Genomic DNA, 22813 nt, shown 5'->3' with positions numbered 1-22813 from the left:
GTATAATAAGGCAATGGGAAGGGATTGGGGGACTTATCTTGGGGGAGCAGGTGGGGAGGAAACCATAATCCAGGGTTTAGGTGCAAAACATCCTGGCTCCCTGTTCTTTCACTGACTTGGCTGTGTGACCTTGGACAAGCCATTTCTCTTCCCAGAACCTCAGCGTCTTCCCCTGCAAGGTGGAAAATTCCCTATTGCCCAAGGTTATTGAGAAGAATGAGAGATCTTGGAGCAGCTCCTGGCTCCAGCCAGCACCTCAAAAACCTGTAGTGAGTTTCTCCCTCCCCTTTCCACTTTGCATCTGTTTACTAGGTGTATTCCACCCTCCTGTTCCCGTCCCCTTGGCATACGCAGGAGCAAAATAATCTCTGAGTCTACGTTATTTCTGTAGCAGTTCAAGGCAGGAGCTTTTGAAGTTACCCAGTAGGGGCTGTTCTGCCTCAGAAACATATCCATCCTCAATTCCTTCCCCCTCCACTCACATCCAATTTGTCTGCAAGAACCGCTGGCTCTGTCTCCAAAACAAATCTCTGCTTTGTCCTTTTCTTACTCTCCCATCCTGGTCTGAGCTTTCACCACCTCTCCCTGTAGGACTCTGGCTGTAGCAGCCTATGCTCTACTCTCTTGGCCTCTACCTTTGCCTCCACCTTCAGAACAACCACCACTAAACACCTGGACCAGCTAGGGCCACTCCCTGCCTCAATCACTCAGCTCGCTGTGACCTTCTTTCCATTCCTTAAACAAACCGAACAATTCCAGCCCCAGGGTCTTTGTACTTGCCGTTCTTTCGCTGGAATGCTCTTCCTACCACACTGGCAGATGACTCTTTCTTATTTAAGGCTCATCTTCTCCCCTTTAAGAAGCCTTCATTGATCATAGTTTCCAAAGTAGCTGCTACTCCCAGCACAATAACTCTACGTCATACCTCTTCATAGCACTAACAATGTTCTTTTGCCTTTTCCTTTTCTTTTCTTTCTTTCTTTCTTTCTTTCTTTTTTTTTTGACAGAGTTTTGCTCTTCTTGCCCAGGCTAGAGTGCAATGGTATGATCTTGGCTCACCACAACCTCTAACTCCTGGGTTCAAGTGATTCTCCTGCCTCAGCCTCCTGAGCAGCTGGGATCACAGGCATGCACCATCACAGTCGGCTCGTTTTGTATTTTTAATAGAGATGGGGTTTCTCCATGCTAGTCAGGCTGGTCTTCAACTCCTGATCTCAGGCGATCTGCCCGCCTCGGCCTCTTAAAGTGCTGGGATTACAGGTGTGAGCCACTGCGCCCGGCCGATTTCCTTCTTTCACTGTTATTTTTAGTTGCTCTCCCCCTACTCCCACTTCCAGAATGTAAGCTTCACGGAGTTTTTTGTTTTTGTTTTGGTCTGCTTTTGTTCAAGGCTGGATTTCCAGAGCCCAACCTAGTGACTGACATGTAGTACGTACTCAAATAAATACGTACTGCATGAGTGAGTCGGATGGCTTAGCTCCGTTTGGAGAGATGGAGGGAAGTAAGATACAGAGGGAGGAAGAGACCTGCCTGCGTTCACAAAACTGGGTGATGCAAAAGTTAATGGTGTTCTGCAGGTGGCTTGCACTGGCTCAAAAGAGCTGATTATTAAATTTTCAGAAATTGTGCAAGCCAGGTGTTAAACCATTATTAGCTTGAAACTGGCCATGTTGGGAGGATTTACACCACAGCAATGGTGAACACTGAATCAGCTTGCCAGCCCACCACTCTACAAAATCCATTGTGATCCTGGTGAAAGGCCATTTATTGATCCTCTTTGAATTCCGGACCGTTCAGACTTAGGATGAGAACAGGAGCTCCCTCTTCCTGAAATGGCCCATCCCATGCCTGATAAAATATGAGTGCTTACTCGGTGTAGGGATCTTTCTAAGCACTTTGTACATATTATCTCCTTGAAGCATCATGACACCCTTCTGAGGCAGCACTTATCTTTATCCCTATTTCACAGGTGAGGACAAAGAGACATGGAGAATTTTTTACATCCCAAGAGCTATAAATGTGTGATACTGTGAAATATATATTTGGTCTTCATAACACCCCCGCTACGTCCACTGGCAAGCCCCAGGTAGCTTCAGTATGGGGGTTGGTCACAGGAAAGAACAAGGCATGATTAAAAGGTTGGGACTTTCAGCTCATCTCCCAGCCTCTGTGGAAGGGAGAGGGAGTGAAAGTTAAGTGGAGCACCAATGGGCAATGATTTAATCAATCATGCGTATGTAATGAATGTTCCATTAAAAAACCGCAAAAGACTGGGTTTAGGGGGCTTCCGGACAGTTGAACACACGGAGGTTCCTGGAAGGTGGCATGCCTGGAGAGGGCATGGCAACTCCATTCTCCTTCCCCTGCACCTCACCCTGTGCGTCTCTTCACCTGTATCCTTTGTAATATCCTTTATAATAAACTGGTAAGCATAAGTGTTTTTCTAAGTTCTTTGAGCTGCTCTAAAAAATTAATTGAAGAGAAAGGTGTTATGGAACCCCAATTTATAGCTGGTCAGTCAGAAGCACAGGTAAAGAACCTGGAGCCTACAATTGGCATTGGAAGTGGGGGACAGTCTTGTGGGACCAAGCCCTCAACTTGTGGGATCTGCTGTGAAGTCCAGGTAGATGTATGAGGATTGAATTGGAGTACACCCAATTCGTGTCCACTGCAGAACTGATTAATTGGTTGCTGGTGGGGAGAAATCCCTACACAATTCTTGGTGACACCAATCAAAAGAGAAGTGTTGATTGTTAAGTGAGAGAATAGAAAAAGCACTTTGGTTGTCTTCCCTATAGCCTCAGATTTGGTGTCAGAAGTGGGATGAGTAAAACAGAAATTGATGGAGTTAGAACAAAAGTCTTAATATAATACTATTTAAGGTTGGGTGGGCCAAAGGGAGTACTTGTTGGTTCCCTAACATTAAAGGGTTCCAAAAAAGTTTGCTGTATTTACCTTAGTTTGGAGAAATTTTAAAAGTCAGAAAGCAAAGATTAAAATAAGACATCTGATCTGAAATTTTCTGGGGCAATAGTCTGGCAGTTTAATCAAGATAAAGATTAACCAACAAGCAAGAGTTCTTTTGCTCAACGCCCTGATGGGGACCTAAAGCCTTATGTACACAAGTGGACAAAATGATCAGGGATGCAGAAGAGAAATTCATGGGACTCCTTGATATGGGAGGTCCACTGACTATGGTACCAACATCCATTGGTGAAGTCCTGACTTGGGATTAGATTGAGAGAATGTAAAAATTTAAGGGTTGTAGTATTGTGAAACCAAAAACCATTGATAAAGTTCTAATAGAGGCTACAGTTAGGAAAGTGAGGGTTGGTGGAATTAAGATAAACCTTTATAGGAGAGTTGGTATATTTGAACACATTTTCTCTGAAGTGATTTTACCTGATTATATTATGGGGATGGATGTTGTATCAGACTGGGAAATGTTTCCCATACCTAGCATTATGAAACAAAAGCCATGTAAATCTGCCTTTAATCAATATTAATTGGACATGCTAAATAGGAACCAGTCAGATCTCTGGAGCCCACAAAATGTAGAATAGAAGACAGAGTGATGCTATGGACAAATTCTCTGAGACAGAGCCCTGTATGGAACCCAGACTGGGGCCTATGGGAACAGCCTATAAGCACCTTCCAGTGACAACTACTGAGACTCTGGACTACAGAATTTCAATTTGAAGAGCATAATACTACTTTCTATGGGATATTAATTCAAGCTACCCCTATGACTGAGGACATAAAATGATCTTGAAGCCTGAAATACCAATAATCTCTTGGATTATGTTTAAAAACACTCTAATGGAGATTAAAATGCCCAGAAGAGTCCCCTAATAAATTAGAAATGATTTATACAGGATCATGCTACCTAGGGAATGCAAGGAGGAGATACTAATAAAAAAGGAGCCTCTTTCTCCCTCGGACTGACTCTGGAAGCGTATGGGGAGCAGCTGGATCCTACTGCCACTTGGACAGTGCCCTATAAACAGCTCTCAACTAGCCAACAAAGAGCTGCTTGGTGTGCAGATGACAGTGCCAAGATGAAAAGACCACGTTCTATTTAGAAGGATGCCATTCTGATCAAAGAAGATAAAAACAAATCCGTCCAGTGAGCTGAATTGCATGCTGAAGAATTGAACAGTGGTAAAAGCCCTTCCGTGTGGGTTTTTACTGACTCACAGGCAGTGGCCAATGGCTTGGCCATATAGTCAAGCAGGTGGATAATGGAAACCTAGCCTATTAAAGGGATGTCCATATGGGACACACACAGCCCTTTGGAAATTTGAGGGGTCCTTAAGGTAGGACATGTCAATGCCCACCAGAAGAGCTCTCTTCCAGGTCTGGAAGGTGATTGAAATCGACAAGCAGATATCCCTGTGTGCTCACTGGGTGGCCACCTGGGTGCATGAAATGAGAGGACATGAGGGCACTGCAGCAGTGCAGAGATGGGCTGAATCTAAATATGTTTCTATTGCACCCTCTCAGGCACATAATGCCAATAAGAACTGTTCTGTTTGCCAGCAGGAGAGACAGAAGCTGCAGATGGCTATGGGCCAGATTCCCTGGTGGGAAGGTCCCAAGCACAGCTGGCAAGTGAGGCTGATGCTGGTAGCCCTGGGGGGCTACAAATGGGTCTTGACAGGAATAGACGCTGACTCTGGGCTGGCCTTTGCTTACCCAGTGGAAGATGCAAATGCTCAGAGTGCTGTAAAAGAATCAGAACAGAATATATTACACACATTTGCACAGGCTGCCGTCATTTCTTCCGACCAAGGAACACACTGTCTAGCCCATAATGTCCAGCAATGGGCAGAGAGCTGTCCTTTGGGTAATAATTTGATCAAGAAGTGGAATGAGCAATTAAAACTTTGGTTGTCAAAAACAGGGGAGATAAAAGCATGAAGGATGTAGCCATAATTTTTTTTAATGTACCCATAAAAATAAAAATTTAAAAAAAAACAGGAAGATTTGGCTTACATGCCCTCCTGTGTGCTCACACTCAACCTGATGGGACTAGAGGAGCGTCACCACTAGACTTTCCTGTTTTCTGGTTGACCTGGGAAAGTGGGGGTAGGGAGAATGCTGGTGTGGCTATGCAATTCTTACCAAGTTGCTATAATGACTATATATTTTTTTCTTTCTTCCAGATATAACCTCATTTTTTTCTCCTACCTGATGCAGTGGTCCTAGTAAAACCAACCCAATTGTCCCATAGAAGTGGCATTTACTATTTTGTTTTTTTTGAGGCAGGGTCTGGCTCTGTCATCCAAGCTGGAGTGCAGTGGTGCAAACCTGGCTCATTTCAACCTCCATCTCCTGGGCTCAAGTGATCCTCCTACTTTAGCTTCCTGCATATCCTACAGATGCATGCCAGCATGCCTGACAAGTTTTAAACTTTTTTGTAGAGACAGGGTCACGCCATGTTGGCCAGGCTGATCTCAAACTCCTGGCCTCAAGCAATCCTCCTGCCTCAGCCTCCAGAAGTGCTGGGACTACAGGTGTGAGTGAGCCATCTCACCTGCTGAGTTTTTGAATAAACCTAGAAAGTGACCCTTTTAGTGTTAAAATTTGAAATTTACATTTGTCTCACTTGAGTTCTTTCCTTTGGAACTGACCTTCAGGCAAAGGACTGAAACTCACCAGATTATACCACACAGACAACGAGAGACTAAATCCCTCATTTCTCAATTGCTTCCTTACTCCTCCCTAATTCCTGTTTTACATTCCTTCACCACTATATAAACCCCCCAGTTTTAGTCCGTCAGAAGTGAATTTGAGACTGATTTCCCATTCTCCTTGGCTTCAGCACCCAGTTAAAATCTTCTTCCCTGGCAACCCTTATTGTCTCAGGGGTTGGCTTTCTGTGCATCTAGCAATGGGAACTAGACTAAACCCCTGGCATGTTAGTAACACTAGGACGAGAACCAGGTCTTGAAACTACAAGTGCTGGAAGCAGGGATGATTCCTAAGCAAAAAAATGTAGCTATGTTATTTTGTTTGTTGGTTATTTTTTTTTGTACTTGACATATAATAATCGTATATATTTACAGGGTACATAGTGATATTTCGATACACACAGTGTATAGTGATTGAATCAGGGTAATTCACATATCCATCATTGCAAAAATGTTTCATTTCTTTGTGTTGGGAACATTCACTATCCCCCTTCCAGCTATTTGAAGCTATATATTATTGTTAACTGGAGTCATCCTACAGTGCTATAGAACACTAGAACTCATTCCTCCTATCTAGCTATAATTTTGCATCCTTTAACAAATCTCTTCATATCCCTTTTTTGTCAGAATTCCCTAAAGGCCTGATAGAGGCAGATTGTACCTCCACCCTATCTGGCAAAACTGGGGCTAATAGTGGATGCAGCTATATTGTCTGGTAGTGAAACCAGCCCACTGGTTCTGCACCTGTGTAACCTTACCCAGTCTGAATGGGAGTGGATTGTGGGGCAGGTACTTGCTAGACTAGTATTGCTGCCTGCAGTCCAGACAAGCACAGTGTTCCTTGCAAAGATGGAAAAGTTTGTATATAAATGAAGAGAAGGAAGAATGGTAGCTGAAGGTAAAGGAATGAATAAATGGGTTATGTAATGAAGGAAATCTAATATTACGTTAACACCTTGAAAGATGCTCAGAACATGGGATGACATTGTCTCTTAGCTCAATTATACCAGATGCCTGAGAGGGTGAAACTATATGTGTGCAGAGACCACTCCTGCTTTTAGAACCTGACAAGATAGAATGGAAGGCTGCAAACTTGAGTGGTCTTACTCTGGGAGACATTCATACAATATGATGGACTGAACCAATTAGTCATGATTGAATGGGATTCTAGTAACGTGGCAGTATCTTTTGAGTTGTATATTCTTTTGGTATAAGGGAACCATGTCCAAAGACCAGGGGTGAATGGTGTGATAGTGTGAAATACATATTTGGTCTTCATTCCTCCTGCCCCTTTCCTGACATACAACTCCTAAATGCTTGGAACCTCCAAAGCGATGTCTTCTGTATGCTAATTAATTGACTAATGGCTGGTAGCTTCAGGATAGGGTCTGGTCACAAGAAAGGTCAAGGCAGGATTATAGGGTTGGGACTTTCAGCCCACCTCCCAATTTCTCGGAAGGAGGGAGGGGCTGAAGGTTGAGTTCATCACCAGAGGCCAATGCTTTAATTAGCCATGCCTCTGTAATGAAGCCTCCTTAAAAACCCAAAGGGACTGGGTTCAGAGAGCTTCTGGATAGCTGAACACATGGAGGTTCCTGGAGGGTGGTGCACCTGCTGAGGGCCTGGCAGCTCTACCCAGCACTTTGGGAGCCCAAGGTGGGCGGATCACTTGAAGCCAGGAGTTCAAGACCAGCCTGGCCAACATGGCGAAATTCCATCTCTACTAAAGATACAAAAATTAGCCAGGTGTGGTGGCGCACACCTGTAATCCCAGGCACTAGGGAGGCTGAAGGGGGAGAATCGTTTGAACCCAGGAGGCAGAGGTTGCAGTGAGCCGAAAACTTTAGTTTTCTTCCTATATCCTCAGAATATGACAGAAGATATCTGCCATATGTGCACTTGATAACAAACTTATATCCAGAATATATAAAGAACTCTCACAAATCAACAAAAAGGAGACATCTTGATTTTTAAAATGGGCAAAAGACATGAACAAGCACTTTACAAAAAAAAAAAGGATATTCAGGCCAGGTGCAGTGGCTCACACCTGTCATTCCAGCATTTTGGAAGGCCAAGGGGGTGGATCACCTGAGGTCAGGAGTTTGAGACCAGCTGGGCCAACATGGTGAAACTCTGTCTCTACTAAAAATACAAAAATTAGCCAGGTGTAGTGGCACGTGCCTGTAGTCCCAGCAACTCAGGAAGCTGAGGCAGGAGAATCGCTTGAACCTGGGAGGCAGAGGCTGCAGTGAGCCAAGATTGTGCCACTGCACTCCAGCCTGGGTGAAAGAGCAAGACTCCAGACCAAAAAATAATAGTAATAATAATCACATGAAAAAGAATTCAGCATAAGTTATCAGGGAGATCAAATCAAAACTATGAGGAGATACTCTTACTCTGCTGCCAGAATGACTAAAATGAAAAGGACTGACAATAACAAGTGCTGGAACTCTCTTGTATCATTGGTGGGAGTGTAAATGGGCACGATTGCTTTGGGGAATGTTTTGTCAGTGTCTACTAAAGCTGAGCACTCCTATGATCCAGCAATTTCACCCCAGTTATTTATCCATGAGAAATAAAAACAATATGTCCACAAAGACTGGCAAATGAATGTTTACTGCAGCTTCATTTATGCAAGTCTCAAACTGAAGATAGCTAAATATCCAGCAACAGGTGAATGTGTAAATGAATTAATATAGACTCATACCATGGAATACGATTCATTAATAAAATGGAATGAGCTATTGATACGTGCTAAAACATGGTGGAAACTCACAGGCATAATGTGGAGTGAAAAGTGCCAGATACAAGAGATTACTACCGTATGATTCCATTTATATGAAGTCTCATACCTGGCAAAAATGATCCATGGCAACAGATGTGAGAATTGTAATTACTCTGGTTGGGGAGAGTCCGGGAGGAGACATGTCATGGAGATCCAGCAGGAGGTACGTGGAAGGGAGCCTTCTGCAGTAGGCACGTCCTACTTCTTGGTCTGGATGGTAGTTGAATGGACAGAGATATAGCTATGCATGATCATAGCTCACTGCAGCCCCGACCTCCCAGGCTCAAGCAATCCTCCTGCCTCTGCCACCCAAAGTGTTGAGATTACAGGCATGAGCCACTGTGCCTGGCCTGACTCCCTCTTATAAGGATACCTGTGAGCCGGGCAATGTGTCTCACACCTGTAATCCCAGCACTTTGGGAGGCCTAAGTGGGAGGAGAGCTGGAGCCCAGGAGTTCGAGACCAGCTTGGCCAACATGGTGAAACCCTGTCTCTACAAAAAAGACAAATTGCGTGGCTTGTGCCTGTAGTTCCAGCTACACGGGAGGCTGAAGCTGGAGAATCGTTTGAACCCAGGCAGAGGTTGCAGTGCAGTGAGCTGAGATCCTGCCATTGCACTCCAGTCTGGGTGACAGAGTGAGACCCTGTTTCAAAAAATAAAAAATAAAAAATAAAAAAAATAAAGAAAGAAAAGGACACCTGTGATTGCATTTAGGGACCAGCTGGATAAACCCGGGTAATCTCATCTCAAGAGCCTCAACTTCATCACATCTGCAATGACCCTTTCTCCTTATCAGGTAGCATGCACAGGCATTAGGTCCAGGCGTTAGGACTGATGTCTCTGAGGGCCATCATTCAGTCCACCACACCATCCCTCCTCCATCCCCTCTGCCTATGAGGCTGACCTCTACTGACCCCATCAGCAAGCTCCCTTGCCCTTCAACTTCGAGGTGGGTTTGGTCAAAGGGAGGCACAGGCAGAATACTGGAAGGGGCTGGAGGATCCCCTCCTCCCTGCCTGCTGCTCCCAAGGTGGGAGCCTCAGTGCCATCAGCAGCCCCTCTTCCATGATCCCAGTTCTCACTAAGGCCTCGGTCATACCATTCCTCCCTTTGTTCCTCCAGGACTCAGCAGAATCTGGCAGGAAACTTCTCCTCCCATTGCTGGCACCTGAGATCCTTACCATCCCTACATCCCTAACACTGCTCGCACCTCTGCAAATCGTACCTTTATTAGACAGTCTGTTTAAGAAATCCCACTGGAGGGGACTGTCTTTTTCAGGCCAGGACCTCGCTGACCTAGCACCATCTTTGGCTTTTATCTTTATTCATGGAGAGCGTTCCATTCTGCTAGGGGGCTTTGCAGGGCATGAGTCAAGGCCTGAAGCCCACTGAACACAATGCTTAGAAATCTCAGGGGTGTTCAAAGATTCATGCCTTATTCATGCAAAGGCTTTCCAAAATAATTAATTCTTTTTTAAAATTTTAATTTTTTTTTTTTTGAGATGATGGAGTTTCACTCTCGTCACCCAGGTTGGAGTGCAGTGGCACAATCTCGGCTCACTGCAACCTCTGCCTCCCAGGTTCAAGCGATCCTCCTGCCTCAGCTTCCTGAGTAGCTGGGATTACAGGTGCCCGCTGCCACGCCGGGCTGATTTTTATATTTTTAGTAGAGACGGGGTTTCGCCATGTTGGCCAGGCTGGTCTCGAACTCCTGACTTCAGGTGATCTGCCCACCTCGGACTCCCAAAGTGCTGCTGGGATTACAGGCATGAGCCACTGCGCCTGGCTGCATGCTAATTTTAAAAACTTTTTATAGAGGTGGGGTGTCACTGTATTCCCCAGGCTGGTTTCAAACTCCTGGGCTCAAGTGATCCTCCTGCCTCAGCTTCCCAAAGTGCTGGGATTACAGGTGTGAGCCACTGTGCTTGGCCTCAAGCTATCCTCTTGTCTCAGCCTCCCAAGTAGCTGGGACTATAGGTGTATGCCACCATGCCCAGCTATTATTTTTATTTTTTGTAGAGATGGCGTCTTGCTGTGTTGTCCAGGTTGGTCTCAAATTCCTGGCCTCAAATAATCCTCCTGCCTTGGCTTCCAGAGTAGCTGGGACTACAGGTGCATACCATCATAGCCAGCCTCAGTATATATTTAAAGGGAGTCTTGCTCTGTCACCCAGGCTTGAGTGTAGTGGCACGATCTTGGCTCACTGCAACCTCCACCTCCCAGGCTCAAGCAATTCTCCTGCCTCAGCCTCCGGAGTGGCTGGGGCTACAGGTGCACTCCACCATACCCAGCTAGCTAACTTTTTGTATTTTTAGTAGAGACAAGGTTTCACCACGTTGACTTCAAGCGATCCGCCTACCCCGGCCTCCCAAAGTGCTGGGATTACAGGCATGAGCCACCGCGCCTGGCCCTTAGTATATTTTTGAGAGAATAAATTAGTTCCTATCCCTTTCATTGACTGAACTCTTCTCATCTTCAAAGACGTCCCTCCCCGACTCTCTGTTTCCTAGGACAAGGTCAGGTATGGTTACCCACTTTGAGATGTACTTTTCTTTTTTGTGCCATGTCCCTGGAGCCGAGCTTGGTGCTAATAATAGCAGCTGAAGCATTCCCTGAGCAAGGTTGGATGGGACGTGGCGCGGGGGGGTGAGGAAGGGGCGTTCCCAGCCCTGGCTCAGGTGTCTCGGCCGTTTGTTCAGTCAGGCGGGCTCCTTATCCTCTCTGAGTCTCCTCATCCTTTTCTACAGGATGGGGATAATCTCAGAACCCACCTCACAGGGCCATGGTGGGGACCAGCAGTGCGATGGTCTGTTTATGTGCCAACCTGGCTGTGTTACAGACCCCAGCTGCTCAACCAAACACTGAGACATGTCGCTGTGGAAGGATTTTGTAGCTGTGACTGACGTCTCTAATCAGTTGACTATGCTGTATACATTTAAGGTATACAACATGATGTTTTGATATATATATATATATACATAATCAGATGATTACTACTGTCAAGCAAATTAACATATCCGTCACGTCTCATAGTTACCTTTTTGTTGTTGTTTTTGCTCTAATCAGTTGACTTTAAGTGAAGGAGATTATCCTCAATAATGTAGGTGGGTCTGATTCAATCAGTTGAAAGGCCTCAAAAGCAGAATGGGGGTTTCCCGGGAAAAGAAAGAATTTCGCTTCAGCTGCTGCTGGAGTTTCCAGACTGCCCCTCCTGCCTGCCTGCCCTACAGACTTCACACCTGCTGTCTTACTCGGTGTGGACTGCTACAACAAAATACCACAGACTGGGTGGCTTATAAACACAAGAAATTCAATTCTCACAGTTCTGGGAGCTGGGAAGTCCAAGATCCAGGCACCAGCATGTTCAGTGTCTGGTGAGGGCCGGCATCCTGGTTCACAGACAGTGCCTTATGCTATGTCTTCACATGGTAGAAGAGGAAACGTCTGGCCTCTTAGGTCTTTTTTTTTTTTTTGGCAGGGTTTGGCTCTGTCACCTAGGTTGGAGTGCAGTGGCACAACCTCCACCTCCCAGGCTCAAGTGATCCTCCTGCCTCATCCTCCGAGTAGCTGGGACCAAACGCATGTGCCACCATGCCTGGCTAATTTTTGTAGTTTTAGTAGAGATGGGGTTTCGCCAGGTTGCCCATACTGGTCTCAAACTCCTGAGCTAAAGTTATCCTCCTGCCTCAGCCTCCCAAAGTGCCGGGATTACAGGCATGAACCACCATGCCCGGCCATCTTAGGGCATGAATCCCATTCATGAAAGTTCCACCTACATAACCTAATCACATCCCAAAAAGGCCTTAAGAGCAGAATGGAGGTTGCCCAGGAGAAGAAATAAGAAGTCTTAGACTTCCCAGCTTCCCGAACTGTGAGAAATGAATTTCTTGTGTTTATAAGCCACTCAGTCTATGGTATTTTGTTGTAGCAGTCCACACCGAGGCCTCCAGACCGCATCATAGTGGGGGTTAAGTTTCAACTTAAAAATGTTGGCGAGACACAGACATCCAGTCCATAGCACCTGCCTAGCCAGCTCTCAGAATCACATAAGCCACTCCCATGCAATAAGCCTTTGTATAAGGATCAGCTACTCGTTCTGTTTCCCTGGTGGAACCCTGATGGATATAAACAAGAGGACCCATGTAATGTGCTTAGAACATGGCCTGGCACAGACACAGTGTGCAACAGACACAGGCTGCCGTCACCGTGCCCTTAACCCCGAGCTGGTTCCTGAATAAACATGAACTCCTCTGTGCCTCACAGTGATCCACGGTATGCTATACCCCCATTTTGCAGGTGAAAGCTGGGGTTAGGGAACATGGGAGTGGCCCACACTCAGGGCCAGAGCTGGGATGTAAACACAGGTGGCTCAGCTCTGTTGTCCAAGTGGCCACTGCAGAAGAAGTTCATGATCCCACGGACCCCCCCACCCTGCAGTGTCCCATGGTTGGGGGAATCCGCATCTGGGAGAGGAAGGGATGGTGGCAGCCCTATCCACAGCCATTCTCCAAATTTAGCAGGGTACAGGGCACACAGAGAGTGCATGGAATTGAGAGAGAGAGAGAAACAGAGACAGAGAGACTAGACTTTGAGGGTCAATGGGAGGGAGAGCCTAGACCTGCTCCTGGAGCCAGCAAAGCCTGAAGTGGCTGCAGGGCCCCAGACAGTTCCCTTCCACAGTCTGCACTCTGGAATGGGGAGAAGTGAGCCTGATGTGATCCTGATGGGCCTTGCTCCTAGGAGCAGGCAGGAGAGGGCAGGGCCATCTCAAATCTGGCTTTGTCCCCAGGCTGTGAGATTCTGGAAGGACCTCCCCTTTGTGAACTTCAACTTCCTTGTGGGTAAGGGCAGGGGGATAGCATCTGTCTCAGAAGGTAGGAACGTAACCTCAGGGAGGCTTCTGAGCCTCTCTGGGCCTCAGTTTCCTCCTCTGTAAAATGGGCATGATAATGGGACCGATTCCACAGGGTCTCTGGCTTAAGTGAATGAAGGCCTGTGAGGGCTTGGGTCACCCTCAGTCCTGGCCAGGACAGTGATCACGGCTGCTTCCGTCATCTCCTGAGGGAACAGAGGTTTGTACAGAGCCACCTGCCATGGCCTCCTCCTTGGATCCTCTCCTTGTAGATGTACAAATGCACACAACTGACCACTGGCCAATTAGCGGTTTGCTCCATGGACTCAGCCCCCTCTGGTCCCTACAGGGAATCTTGAGGAGCCGGCAGTGACCTCAGCCTAGACGGGGAAACACAGCCTGGTATTAGACCCCATCTGTCTGTCTGACCTGGAGTGCCCTCTTGTGTCTTTCCCTTGACTCTGGGGAAAGAGTTCAGCCCAATATCCACTTCTTGGGAGATGATTCCACTTTCCAATCTCACCTGTATCTGTGGAGCTGCTGGGCCCCTGCTGCGCTCATCCCTCAGCCCACCCATATGGATGCCACATTTTTCCTGAAGTCACCCTCCTAGTCCCCACGACCTTTCAATTGGTGGGGGATCAGGACTGAAGTCAAACTCAGGGACATTGTCACCACTGTGCATGTCCTTCAGAGAGAGGGGGAAGCTGATCCCCCAGGTATCAGCTCCTCCCTTGTTTCTCCTGAGGGTGAGCGGGGCGACAGTTGAGGCCTGTTTGCAGGGAGCTTTACCCAGGCGCAGCCTGTGGCCCCTTGCCTGGCTCAGTTCTCACCATTGTCTGCCTCCTGCCCTAGAAATGCTGCTTGCTCTGCCCTTGCTGGAGTGCTCTGACCCCCCAGCACCATGCCTCCTGCCTTCAATCTTGCAGCTTTCTGTGCCTGGCGGTGCTGTCACCTCTCCCTGCATGCCTGCTGGGCTCAGGTAGCAACACTCAGCTCCCCGAGCCGGGTCAAGCCCTCCCTCCCTCAATGCCAGCTCCTCCTCCCCTCCCCTCTCCCCATGCTTCTTGGGACACAGCCCTGGCCCTGCTCGAAGGGTGTAACAACCTGGAGGTCTTATGGGCAGGACCTGGGTCTGACTTCTCTTTGTCCCCAGCCCGCGGCCTGGCACACAGGAGGCCTCCGGGGATTTGTGGCCACATGAGTGACATGAGTGAACACCTGGAATGTTTTTCTCTACCTAGAAATCCCTCCTTACTCTTCCACACACAAGCTTCCTCCCAGAACCTGGGGATTCTTGTTGCCCTTGGCAAAGCGTCTGCGTTCTGAATAACCCCGCCTGCTGTGGGCAGGAAGGGTGTTCAGGGAGCAGGAGTCCCCTCCACATCTATGCCTCTGATCTGAGTTTGCAAATGAGAAGGCTCATCAGGGTTTTTCTTTGACCCACGCGGCGCTGCCTTTTAAAAACATGTTCTCAATTGCTAATGTGCCGGAATCAAGATATTTCACACTGAAATCGAGATCTCTGGATTCTCCTCAAAAGACAAACAAAAAAAAATATGAAGAGCTAGCTGTAGTCTCCCCGTGTTCCTGACCTGTGGGGAGGGGGTGGGGAGGAGTCGGAGGGAGTTCCGCCACTGTGAGCCGCCGCCTTCAGGAGGGGCAGCTGCTTTCAAGACAGACACGGCCCCCATTAGGCCAACTGTGCCCCTCTTGTTCCCTGCCTGGTGGCTGTGAGCATCTGAGTTTGCAACCTCTGCACTAGAGTCTCATAAAGTCAGGAGAAAATGTCCAGGACAGGGTCAGCTGCTGCAGCGGGGGACAAGGGTCCCGGGTTCCGGAGTCCTGAGCAGTGCACAGCCTTGCAGTGTGGCCCGAGGCACGGTGAGCCTCAGTTTCCCTGTTTGCAATGCAGATGTGCAGAGGCTGGGGCCTCATGGTTCCCAGTGTCTCCGTGGATGTGCTCTTGGGGGTTCTTCAGGGTTTCAGCCACTTCCCATCGTGCTGAGCATGCTTCAGTTTCTCTCTCTGAAGAAGGCTGAGGCTGGGTTGGATCCATTCTGGGCTCACAGCGGCCCCTGTGGCGGCAGCAGCCTGTTTCCTGGTGCTGCCCGCCTGGCGTATCCCTGTGTGTTTTGTTTCTGCTCCTGTCAGCCTGGCTGCTGGGGTGGCGTGTCCCTTGGGCAGGTGTCAGGTGTTAGGCGTGTCCCCTACATTGGCTAACATGAGGGCTGGCGCTGGGGAGGCCCCGGGGCATGTTTCCCCAGGAAATGGGTGAGAGCCGGGCGACGGCCTCTGGGTCTGGAGTCTGGGATGGAGTCGCACCTCTGCCTGGGCCAGGTTTCCACGTCCTGGGCCGCATGCCGTGATCCATCTCGGAGTCTACACTCTTCTTTCTCTCCAGAGCCCTAGACTTTGGGAGAACCACAGTCGGTTGCTCCGCTGCCTTAGACAAGCCCAATCCCCTCTCTAAGTACCCAACACGGGGGAATCCAAGCAGCCTCCTTAAGCCTCTGTTATGAGCGGAAGTGTGGATCCACCCCACCCCCCATCATTCATATGTTGACATCCTAACCCCCAGTGACTCAGAATGTGACTGTATTGGAGACAAGGTCTTAACATCGGTGATTAAGGTTAAGTGATGTCACATGATGGGCCTGAATTCAATGACTGGTGTCCTTACAAGGGAAGGAAATTAGGACCCAGGCACACGCAGAGGGATGACCCTGTGAGGACACAGGGAGAAGACAGCATCTACCGGCCAAGGTGAGAGGCCTCAGAAGGAAGCTCTGCTGCTGGCACCTTGACCTGGGATTTCCAGCCTCCAGAGGGGGAGAAAATCAGTATCTGCCGTTCAAGCCGCCCAGTCTGTGGGGCTTTGTTTTGGCAAATGTAGCATCTGCTGTGTGGGGCGAGGGGGCCTGGGTCTCTCCGTCCTGAACAAGTGCCTCCCCGGGGTTCTGCCAGGTGATGGGGTGGGGGCCCTGGCCTGCGGCCCTGTTGCTTGACAGTCTGCCTGTGACTGTCCCAGGGACTTACCTCCAGCCCGGTCTGGTGGGGTGTCAGCTTCAGGCATTTTGGGTACTTCTGTTTCCTCCAGCAGCTCTGGTTTCTTAAGGGGCAAGCCTTCTTTGGCCTTGGGACTCTGATGCTCCTCCCACCAGGTAAGCATCTTCATTCTAAGGCAGGAAGCCCCGTGGTGAATGCTGTGCTCAGTCCCTGCCCCGTCCAGTTCCCAGAAGGAGCCCTGGGCTGGGCCCAGAACACCAGCTTCCTCCGCTTCCTGGTTCTGAGACCAGCACAGCCCCACCCCACGCCGTCAAATGGGGATAAGAACCTCTATTGTCTTGGCGTGGACCCTCTCCCAAGCTTCTTTCTGGGCCTCCTGGAATTCACTCTGTCCCCCAGAGCTGCCCGGCTCCTCTCCTGCTCACAGCCCTCCCATGGCTTCCCAGTCCCCCCAGGACACAGCCCAGCCCTTCAGCCTGGTGGCCCTTCGTGTCTGGTCCATTCCTGCTTCTCTTGCTGCTCTGCGATGTCTCCATATATACTTTTCAGTTTTGGACAGGTCTTTTTTTTTGCACCTTTCTTCCTCCTTCGAATATTGCTGGCTCATGTCTGCATGTCCATGCCCGGCACATCGCCTTGCTCTTTCTGACAGCTGTGTTGTTCTGTTGTATGGCTGTCCCATGGATTATATAACTGTTCCCTTTCCTTTCTTGCTCTGGCAGCTGCAGGGGCCACCTGCTGGTCCCTGGCTGGCGGCTGTGTCCTTCTGTCCCGTGTCCCCTGCAGAGCAGCCTGAGCAAGCTTTAAAGACCCGACCTGTTCCTCCCCAAATGGAGATCCTTCCATTGTTTCTTTCTGCGTTCAGACAATAAGATTCAAACGTCCATTTCCTGTCTGAAAACACTTGCTCTACAAAAACATCCGAAAATACTGATGGGGCTGAGGTCGTAAGGACGTTGGGGACTGAAGATCAGAGGCCACGCATCAACTGAGGGTTGGCTGCACACTGCTGGGTTGTGGGGAAGCGGGGGCTTGCTGTTATGATTACCAAGGGACTTGCTTTAAATGGTCCAGTGACAGCAGACAACAAGGCCTTGGGTCCATACTAGGTAGCAACCTGGATATGACACCCCCACATCAAGGGGGGCGCCAGAAAAAAAATCTAGTCATTGATCAAGGGAATGACAAGGAAGCATGTCTATTTTGGCCTGGGCTTTCGGTGGCAAAAAAAAACCTTTTTGTATTTATCTTAGAAGCTGAGGCCTCCATTTATAGAGATTTGCATCAGAGAGCGACAAAGTGAGCAATGAACACAAATAGCCCCCGGTGTGTTTCGCTGTTGGGCAACTCACACAAAACTCATTTCAGGGGGACTTGCCCACCACATTGTCCGCATATGCTTCTTGCAGGTAAAGTCCCCACTGAGAGCAGCTCACCTTCCAGGATGACCAAGCATGAGAGGCAATAGCCCTCCACGAGGGAAGATGAAACCCAAACTTCTCACCAGAGCCCTTGAGGCTCTGCCAGCAGGTTAGCCTCTCCCAAGCTCTCCTTAAGCTCTGAGCTCATCTGGCCCTGCTGGGCTCTTGAACTCGATAAACCTTTGCAATCTCAGAGCCTAGAACTGCGGCTCCCTCAGTCTGGGCAGCTCCCCACACTCCTTTAGGCCTCAGAGCAAGTACCTGAAGGCTGCTCCCCGCCCCGTCCCCTTGCCACACTCTCTCCCAGCTCCCCGTTTTCCTCCAGGCACTTCCCAACATTTGTCCCTACACATCTGCATATGTCCTCGTTCAGTGTCCACCTCCCTGAGGCCTGGTTTGCTCTACGATATTGTCAGAGGTATTTGAACCAGAGTAACTCCATCTTGAACAGGGGCTGGGTAAAATAAGGCTGAGACCTACTGGGCTGCATTCCTGGACAGTGAAGGCATTCTAAGTCACAGGATGAGATAGGAGGTCGGCACAAAATACAGGTCATAAAGACCTTGCTGATAAAACAGCTTGCAGTAAAGAAGCTGGCCAAAACCCACCAAAACCAAGATGGCGACAAGAGTGACCTCTGGTCGTCCTCACTGCTACACCCCCACCAGCACCATGACAGGTTACAGATGCCATGGCAACGTCAGGAAGTTACCCTTCTGTTTTAGAACCCTCATCCTCTGAAGAAAGAGTCTCCTTCTGCTACTTTGAGCCTCTGGCTATTGGGCCAGAACATCCCCTTCCTCTCATTTCTGTCACTGGCAACCCCCTAGGCCAGGCCTCTGTATTCCCAGAGGATTTTTATGCTTGACTCTCAGTCTTTCTGTCCCCAGATTTCTGTCATCATTTTGGGCGCCTTTGACATTCCCATGGACAGACCCAATTGTCACCCCGACATGTCAGCTCCCAGAGCTTCTGAGGCCAGTTCCTTTTTGTTGGTGGTGGCTGGAATCCCTTCCTGGGGGAGCCAGCTGGGATGGGCTGTTAGAGGTGGCATCGACCCTTGACTCAGGTAGAGCCAATCAGTCTTCCCTGGGATTGCTAAATCACCACGAGAAGACAAGTTCTCTGTCAGCTGGAGTTAGCTAAGAGAGGAGGACGTGAATCTGGGGCTGGCCATCTTGCCTGTAAGGTGAAGAGAGCCTCCAGAGCTCACGTTAACCAGAAGGAAACAGAGCCATAGGGTGGGGACAGACAGACTCTTGGTGAAGCCATCTGCATGCCTGGATTCAGACATGCCTGAAGTGTAGATCCGCCTGTCACGGGTGGAATTGTGTCCCCACAAATATATATGTTGAAGTCTCAACCCCCAGTAGCTCAGAATGTAACCATGTTTGGAGATAGGGCCTTTTAAGGGGTTATTAAGGTTAAATGAGATCATTATGGGTGGGCCATAGTCTATGCGACTGTTTTTGGAAATAGCGCCTCAAGTTAAATGAAGGCTGTTCAGGTGGGGCCTTAATCCTATATGACTGGTGTCCTTATTTCTTAGTCTGTCCATGCTGCTATCACAAGGTGCCATAGACTGGGTGGCTTATAAGCAACAGAAATTTATTTCTTATACTTCTAGAGGCTGTAAAGCCCAAGATCACAGCACTGGTATATTTGACGTCTGGGCAAGGCTTGCTTCCTGGTTCATGGATAGCAAATTCTAGCTGGGTCCTCATGTGGTGAAAGGGAGGAGATGGCTCTCTGGGGGCTCTTCTATTAGGGCGCTAATCCTATTCATGAGGACTCCACCTTTATGACCTAATCACCTCCCAAGGCCCCACCTCCAAACACCATCATCTTGGGGGTTAGGATTCCAACAAATGAATTAGCAGGGGTAGGGGCATACAGACATTCAGACCATAGCACCTTACATGAAGAGGGAGAGACCGAGGGGTGTGTGCACAGAGGTATGACCATGAGAAGAGGCAGTAAGAGAGTGAGGAGAGAGGCCTCAGGAGAAACCAACACTGCTGACACCTTGATCATGGACTCCCAGCCTCCAGAATGCTGGGAGGACAAACTTCCGTTTTTGTTTGTTTGTTTGTTTTTTGAGACGGAGTTTTGCCCTTGTTGCCCAGGCTGGAGTGCAATGGCATGATCTCAGCTCACTGCAACCTCCGCCTCCCAGGTTCAAGTGATTCTCCTGCTTCAGCCTCCCGAGTAGCTGGGACTACAGGCATGCGCCACCACACCCAGCTAATTTTGTATTTTTAGTAGAGATGGGGTTTCTCCATGTTGGTCAGGCTGGTCTCAAACTCCTGACCTCAGATGATCAGCCTGCCTCGGCCTCCCAAAGTGCTGGGATTACAGGCGTGAGCCACCGTGCCCAGCCTCAAATTTCTGTTGTTTAAGCCACTTAGTCTGTGGTATTTTGTTATGGCAGCGCCTGCAAACTAATACGTGCCTTTAGACTTAACAGTCAATCTGTTCCTACAGCAGATTAAAAATGGTGGCAAATCCTTGGATAGTTTTCCTAAGGACAGGTGGAATCTATTTCTTCTTCCTTTGAATCTTGGCCAGCCTGTGACTTGCTCTAAGAGAATGCTGTGGAAGTGATGTGCTATTGATTCTGGGCCTGTCCTTTAAGAGGACTGGCAGCTTCTGCTTTGGAAGAGAGCACATGGAGAGACTCGGAGCCCACATGGAAAGAAAGAGGGGCCCAGCTGAGCCTCACCTTCTGGCCATCCACACCAAAATGCCTGGTTTGTGAATGAAAGCATTTTGGATTCTCCATGCTAGCCCAACTCAAGTGACCTCCAGTGACACCACAGGGAGCAAAAGAATCACCCAGCTGGGCCCTGCCCAAATTCCTAATCTAGGAAATCATGAAAAATACTAAAATGATTATTGTTTGAAGCCACTGTATTTTGGGGGATTGCTATGATCTGAATGTTTACACCCCCCGCTCAAATTCACATGTTGAAATCCTAACCCTCAAGTGATCGTATTTGGAGGTGGGGCCTTTGGGAGGTGATTAGTTCATGAGGATGGAACCCTCCTGAATGAGACAAAAGCCTTTATAAAAGAGACCTCAGCGAGACCCCAGTCCCTTCCACCAAGTGGGGACACAGTGAGAAGATGTCATCTATAAGGAAAAGAGCCCTCACCAGACACTGAACCTGCTGGCACCCTGACCTTGGACTTCCTAGCTTCCAGAACTGAGAGAAATAAATCTCTGTTACGCACAAAACACCCAATCTATGGCATTGTGTTGTAGTAGCCCAGATGGACTAAGACAGGGGTAGAGACATAGCAACAGATGACCAGAACTGTTCCCTTTCTCTTTGAGCTTGTTGAATTCAGCCCTTATAACTCACAACTGGAAGAGACCTGATGAATGCAACTGTTTCCTTTAACTACCAAGGGTTCATTATCTCCCAAAACTTTTCCACTTATGAAAATGTAAATTCCAATACCTCATGATCTGCCTAGTTCTTCTATCCATCCAGTTTTTTGGTGCTCCCCTTCCAACTGTTCCCATTATATGATATCACAGGTGGAAGCTTCAATTCCAAGACACTATATTTTCTAGAGTCTATGAAGACTCTCTGTTTCTCTTCCTTTCCTCCCTCCCCACCCCACTAGGTACAACGGCTCCCCAGTTAAAGCGCTCTCTTTCTCCTTCCAGCCTCCTTGCTTGCCCGTCTCCAACCTCCCCACTCCATCACCCTTCCTGGCATCTTGTCCATGAATACTCAAACCTAGACCAATGCCATCATCTACTCCTTTTTTTCTGCTATAGTCTGAATATTTGTGTTCCTCCAAAATTCTTCTGCTGAAACATAATCTCCAGTGTTTTAGTATTTGGAGCTGGGGCCTTTGGGGAGTGATTAGGTCGGGAGTGTGTAGCCCTCATGAATGGGATTGTAGTGCCTTTATAAAGGGAGCCCAGATAACTCCCTTTCCCTGTACACCATGTGAGGACACAACCAGAAGGTGCCATCTGTGAACCAAGAAGCAGGCCCTCACCAGACACCAAATCTTCTGGTGACTTGATCCTGAACTTCCCAGCCTTCAGAACTGGGAGAAGTAAATTTCTTTTGTTTATAAGCCACCCAGTCTATGTATTCTGTTATAGCAGGCTGAATGGACTAAGACGTCTTCCAATGACTGCTGCTGGGAGGAGATGTCACATAGCAATGATGCTTGCCACCATTAACGATTACTAATCTCCAGTAACCAATGGGCCTTGGCTACTGCTCAGTGGTTGCTCTCCTTGTCCTTATACAGATCCTGCTCATTCTCCCCAGTGGCTATTCCAACCACCCTAACACATCACACTTCTTCTCAATTCCCCATGGATTCCCCATGCTCCCACCCATGTCATTTTCAGCAGACAGCCTTGCCATGCTTTCCTTGCTATGAAAATAAGCCACTGGGTGGGAGATCCTCACCCCACCAACCCCAATCCTAAATGCTGCCTAAAGGTGAACAAGAGAAAGAACACCTGCCACTGGATTTTGAGAATAACATTGAGAATAAGGATAACTGGTTGCTTTAGACAATGTCATGTCAGTGGCCTGGTGCTGGGGAGCAAGTGGAAGAGTGATGAGAATCAGGAAGTGGTGTAAGATACTTTCTCGAAAGAATATTGGATAGTACATAGAGGAAGCCTGTGGGGCTGAGGCGGGAGAGATTTGTGCCAGCAAAGAAAGAATGATTGAAAATTTAGGAGCCAGAAGGGATGATTGATGGAGTACAGCTCCTAAGGCAGTGGAGGAGAAGGATTCCCAAGCAGAGAAGGTGGAGCTTACCTTGGACAGGAGGAAGAAAGCCTCTTTCCCTAAAAAAGGCAGGGAGTACATCACTCAATGTCAATGGTAATAACGTTGTATGTGTTGGGGAGCTGATTTTTTCCTTGGAAGTAGGTAAACCTTATTGCTGAACATGACGGGATGAGATAAGAGACTGGGGGAAAGAGGGAAACACCTGGCATACTGACAGAGTGTGAAGTTGGAGGGAGTTGATTAGAGGCAAGCTAAAGGATTTTCTGGGCAATACTGA

The 22813-nt window shown here is 48.4% G+C and overlaps 4 annotated features.

Annotated features, from left to right (window-relative positions):
- Positions 13068 to 13745: an enhancer, noted in NCBI's record as "H3K4me1 hESC enhancer chr19:51799797-51800474 (GRCh37/hg19 assembly coordinates)". NCBI's record gives its function as "activates a minimal SCP1, AML or CMV promoter by ChIP-STARR-seq in primed H9 embryonic stem cells {active_cell/tissue: H9 hESC(primed)}" and the evidence as "EXISTENCE:reporter gene assay evidence [ECO:0000049][PMID:30033119]".
- Positions 15104 to 15782: an enhancer, noted in NCBI's record as "NANOG-H3K27ac-H3K4me1 hESC enhancer chr19:51797760-51798438 (GRCh37/hg19 assembly coordinates)". NCBI's record gives its function as "activates a minimal SCP1, AML or CMV promoter by ChIP-STARR-seq in primed H9 embryonic stem cells {active_cell/tissue: H9 hESC(primed)}" and the evidence as "EXISTENCE:reporter gene assay evidence [ECO:0000049][PMID:30033119]".
- Positions 16461 to 17139: an enhancer, noted in NCBI's record as "OCT4-NANOG-H3K27ac-H3K4me1 hESC enhancer chr19:51796403-51797081 (GRCh37/hg19 assembly coordinates)". NCBI's record gives its function as "activates a minimal SCP1, AML or CMV promoter by ChIP-STARR-seq in naive and primed H9 embryonic stem cells {active_cell/tissue: H9 hESC(naive and primed)}" and the evidence as "EXISTENCE:reporter gene assay evidence [ECO:0000049][PMID:30033119]".
- Positions 17140 to 17818: an enhancer, noted in NCBI's record as "OCT4-NANOG-H3K27ac-H3K4me1 hESC enhancer chr19:51795724-51796402 (GRCh37/hg19 assembly coordinates)". NCBI's record gives its function as "activates a minimal SCP1, AML or CMV promoter by ChIP-STARR-seq in naive and primed H9 embryonic stem cells {active_cell/tissue: H9 hESC(naive and primed)}" and the evidence as "EXISTENCE:reporter gene assay evidence [ECO:0000049][PMID:30033119]".

This window comes from Homo sapiens, chromosome 19 (assembly GCF_000001405.40).
Source record: "Homo sapiens chromosome 19, GRCh38.p14 Primary Assembly".
NCBI lineage: Eukaryota > Metazoa > Chordata > Mammalia > Primates > Hominidae > Homo > Homo sapiens.
This window is presented reverse-complemented; position numbering and strand designations above follow the sequence as displayed.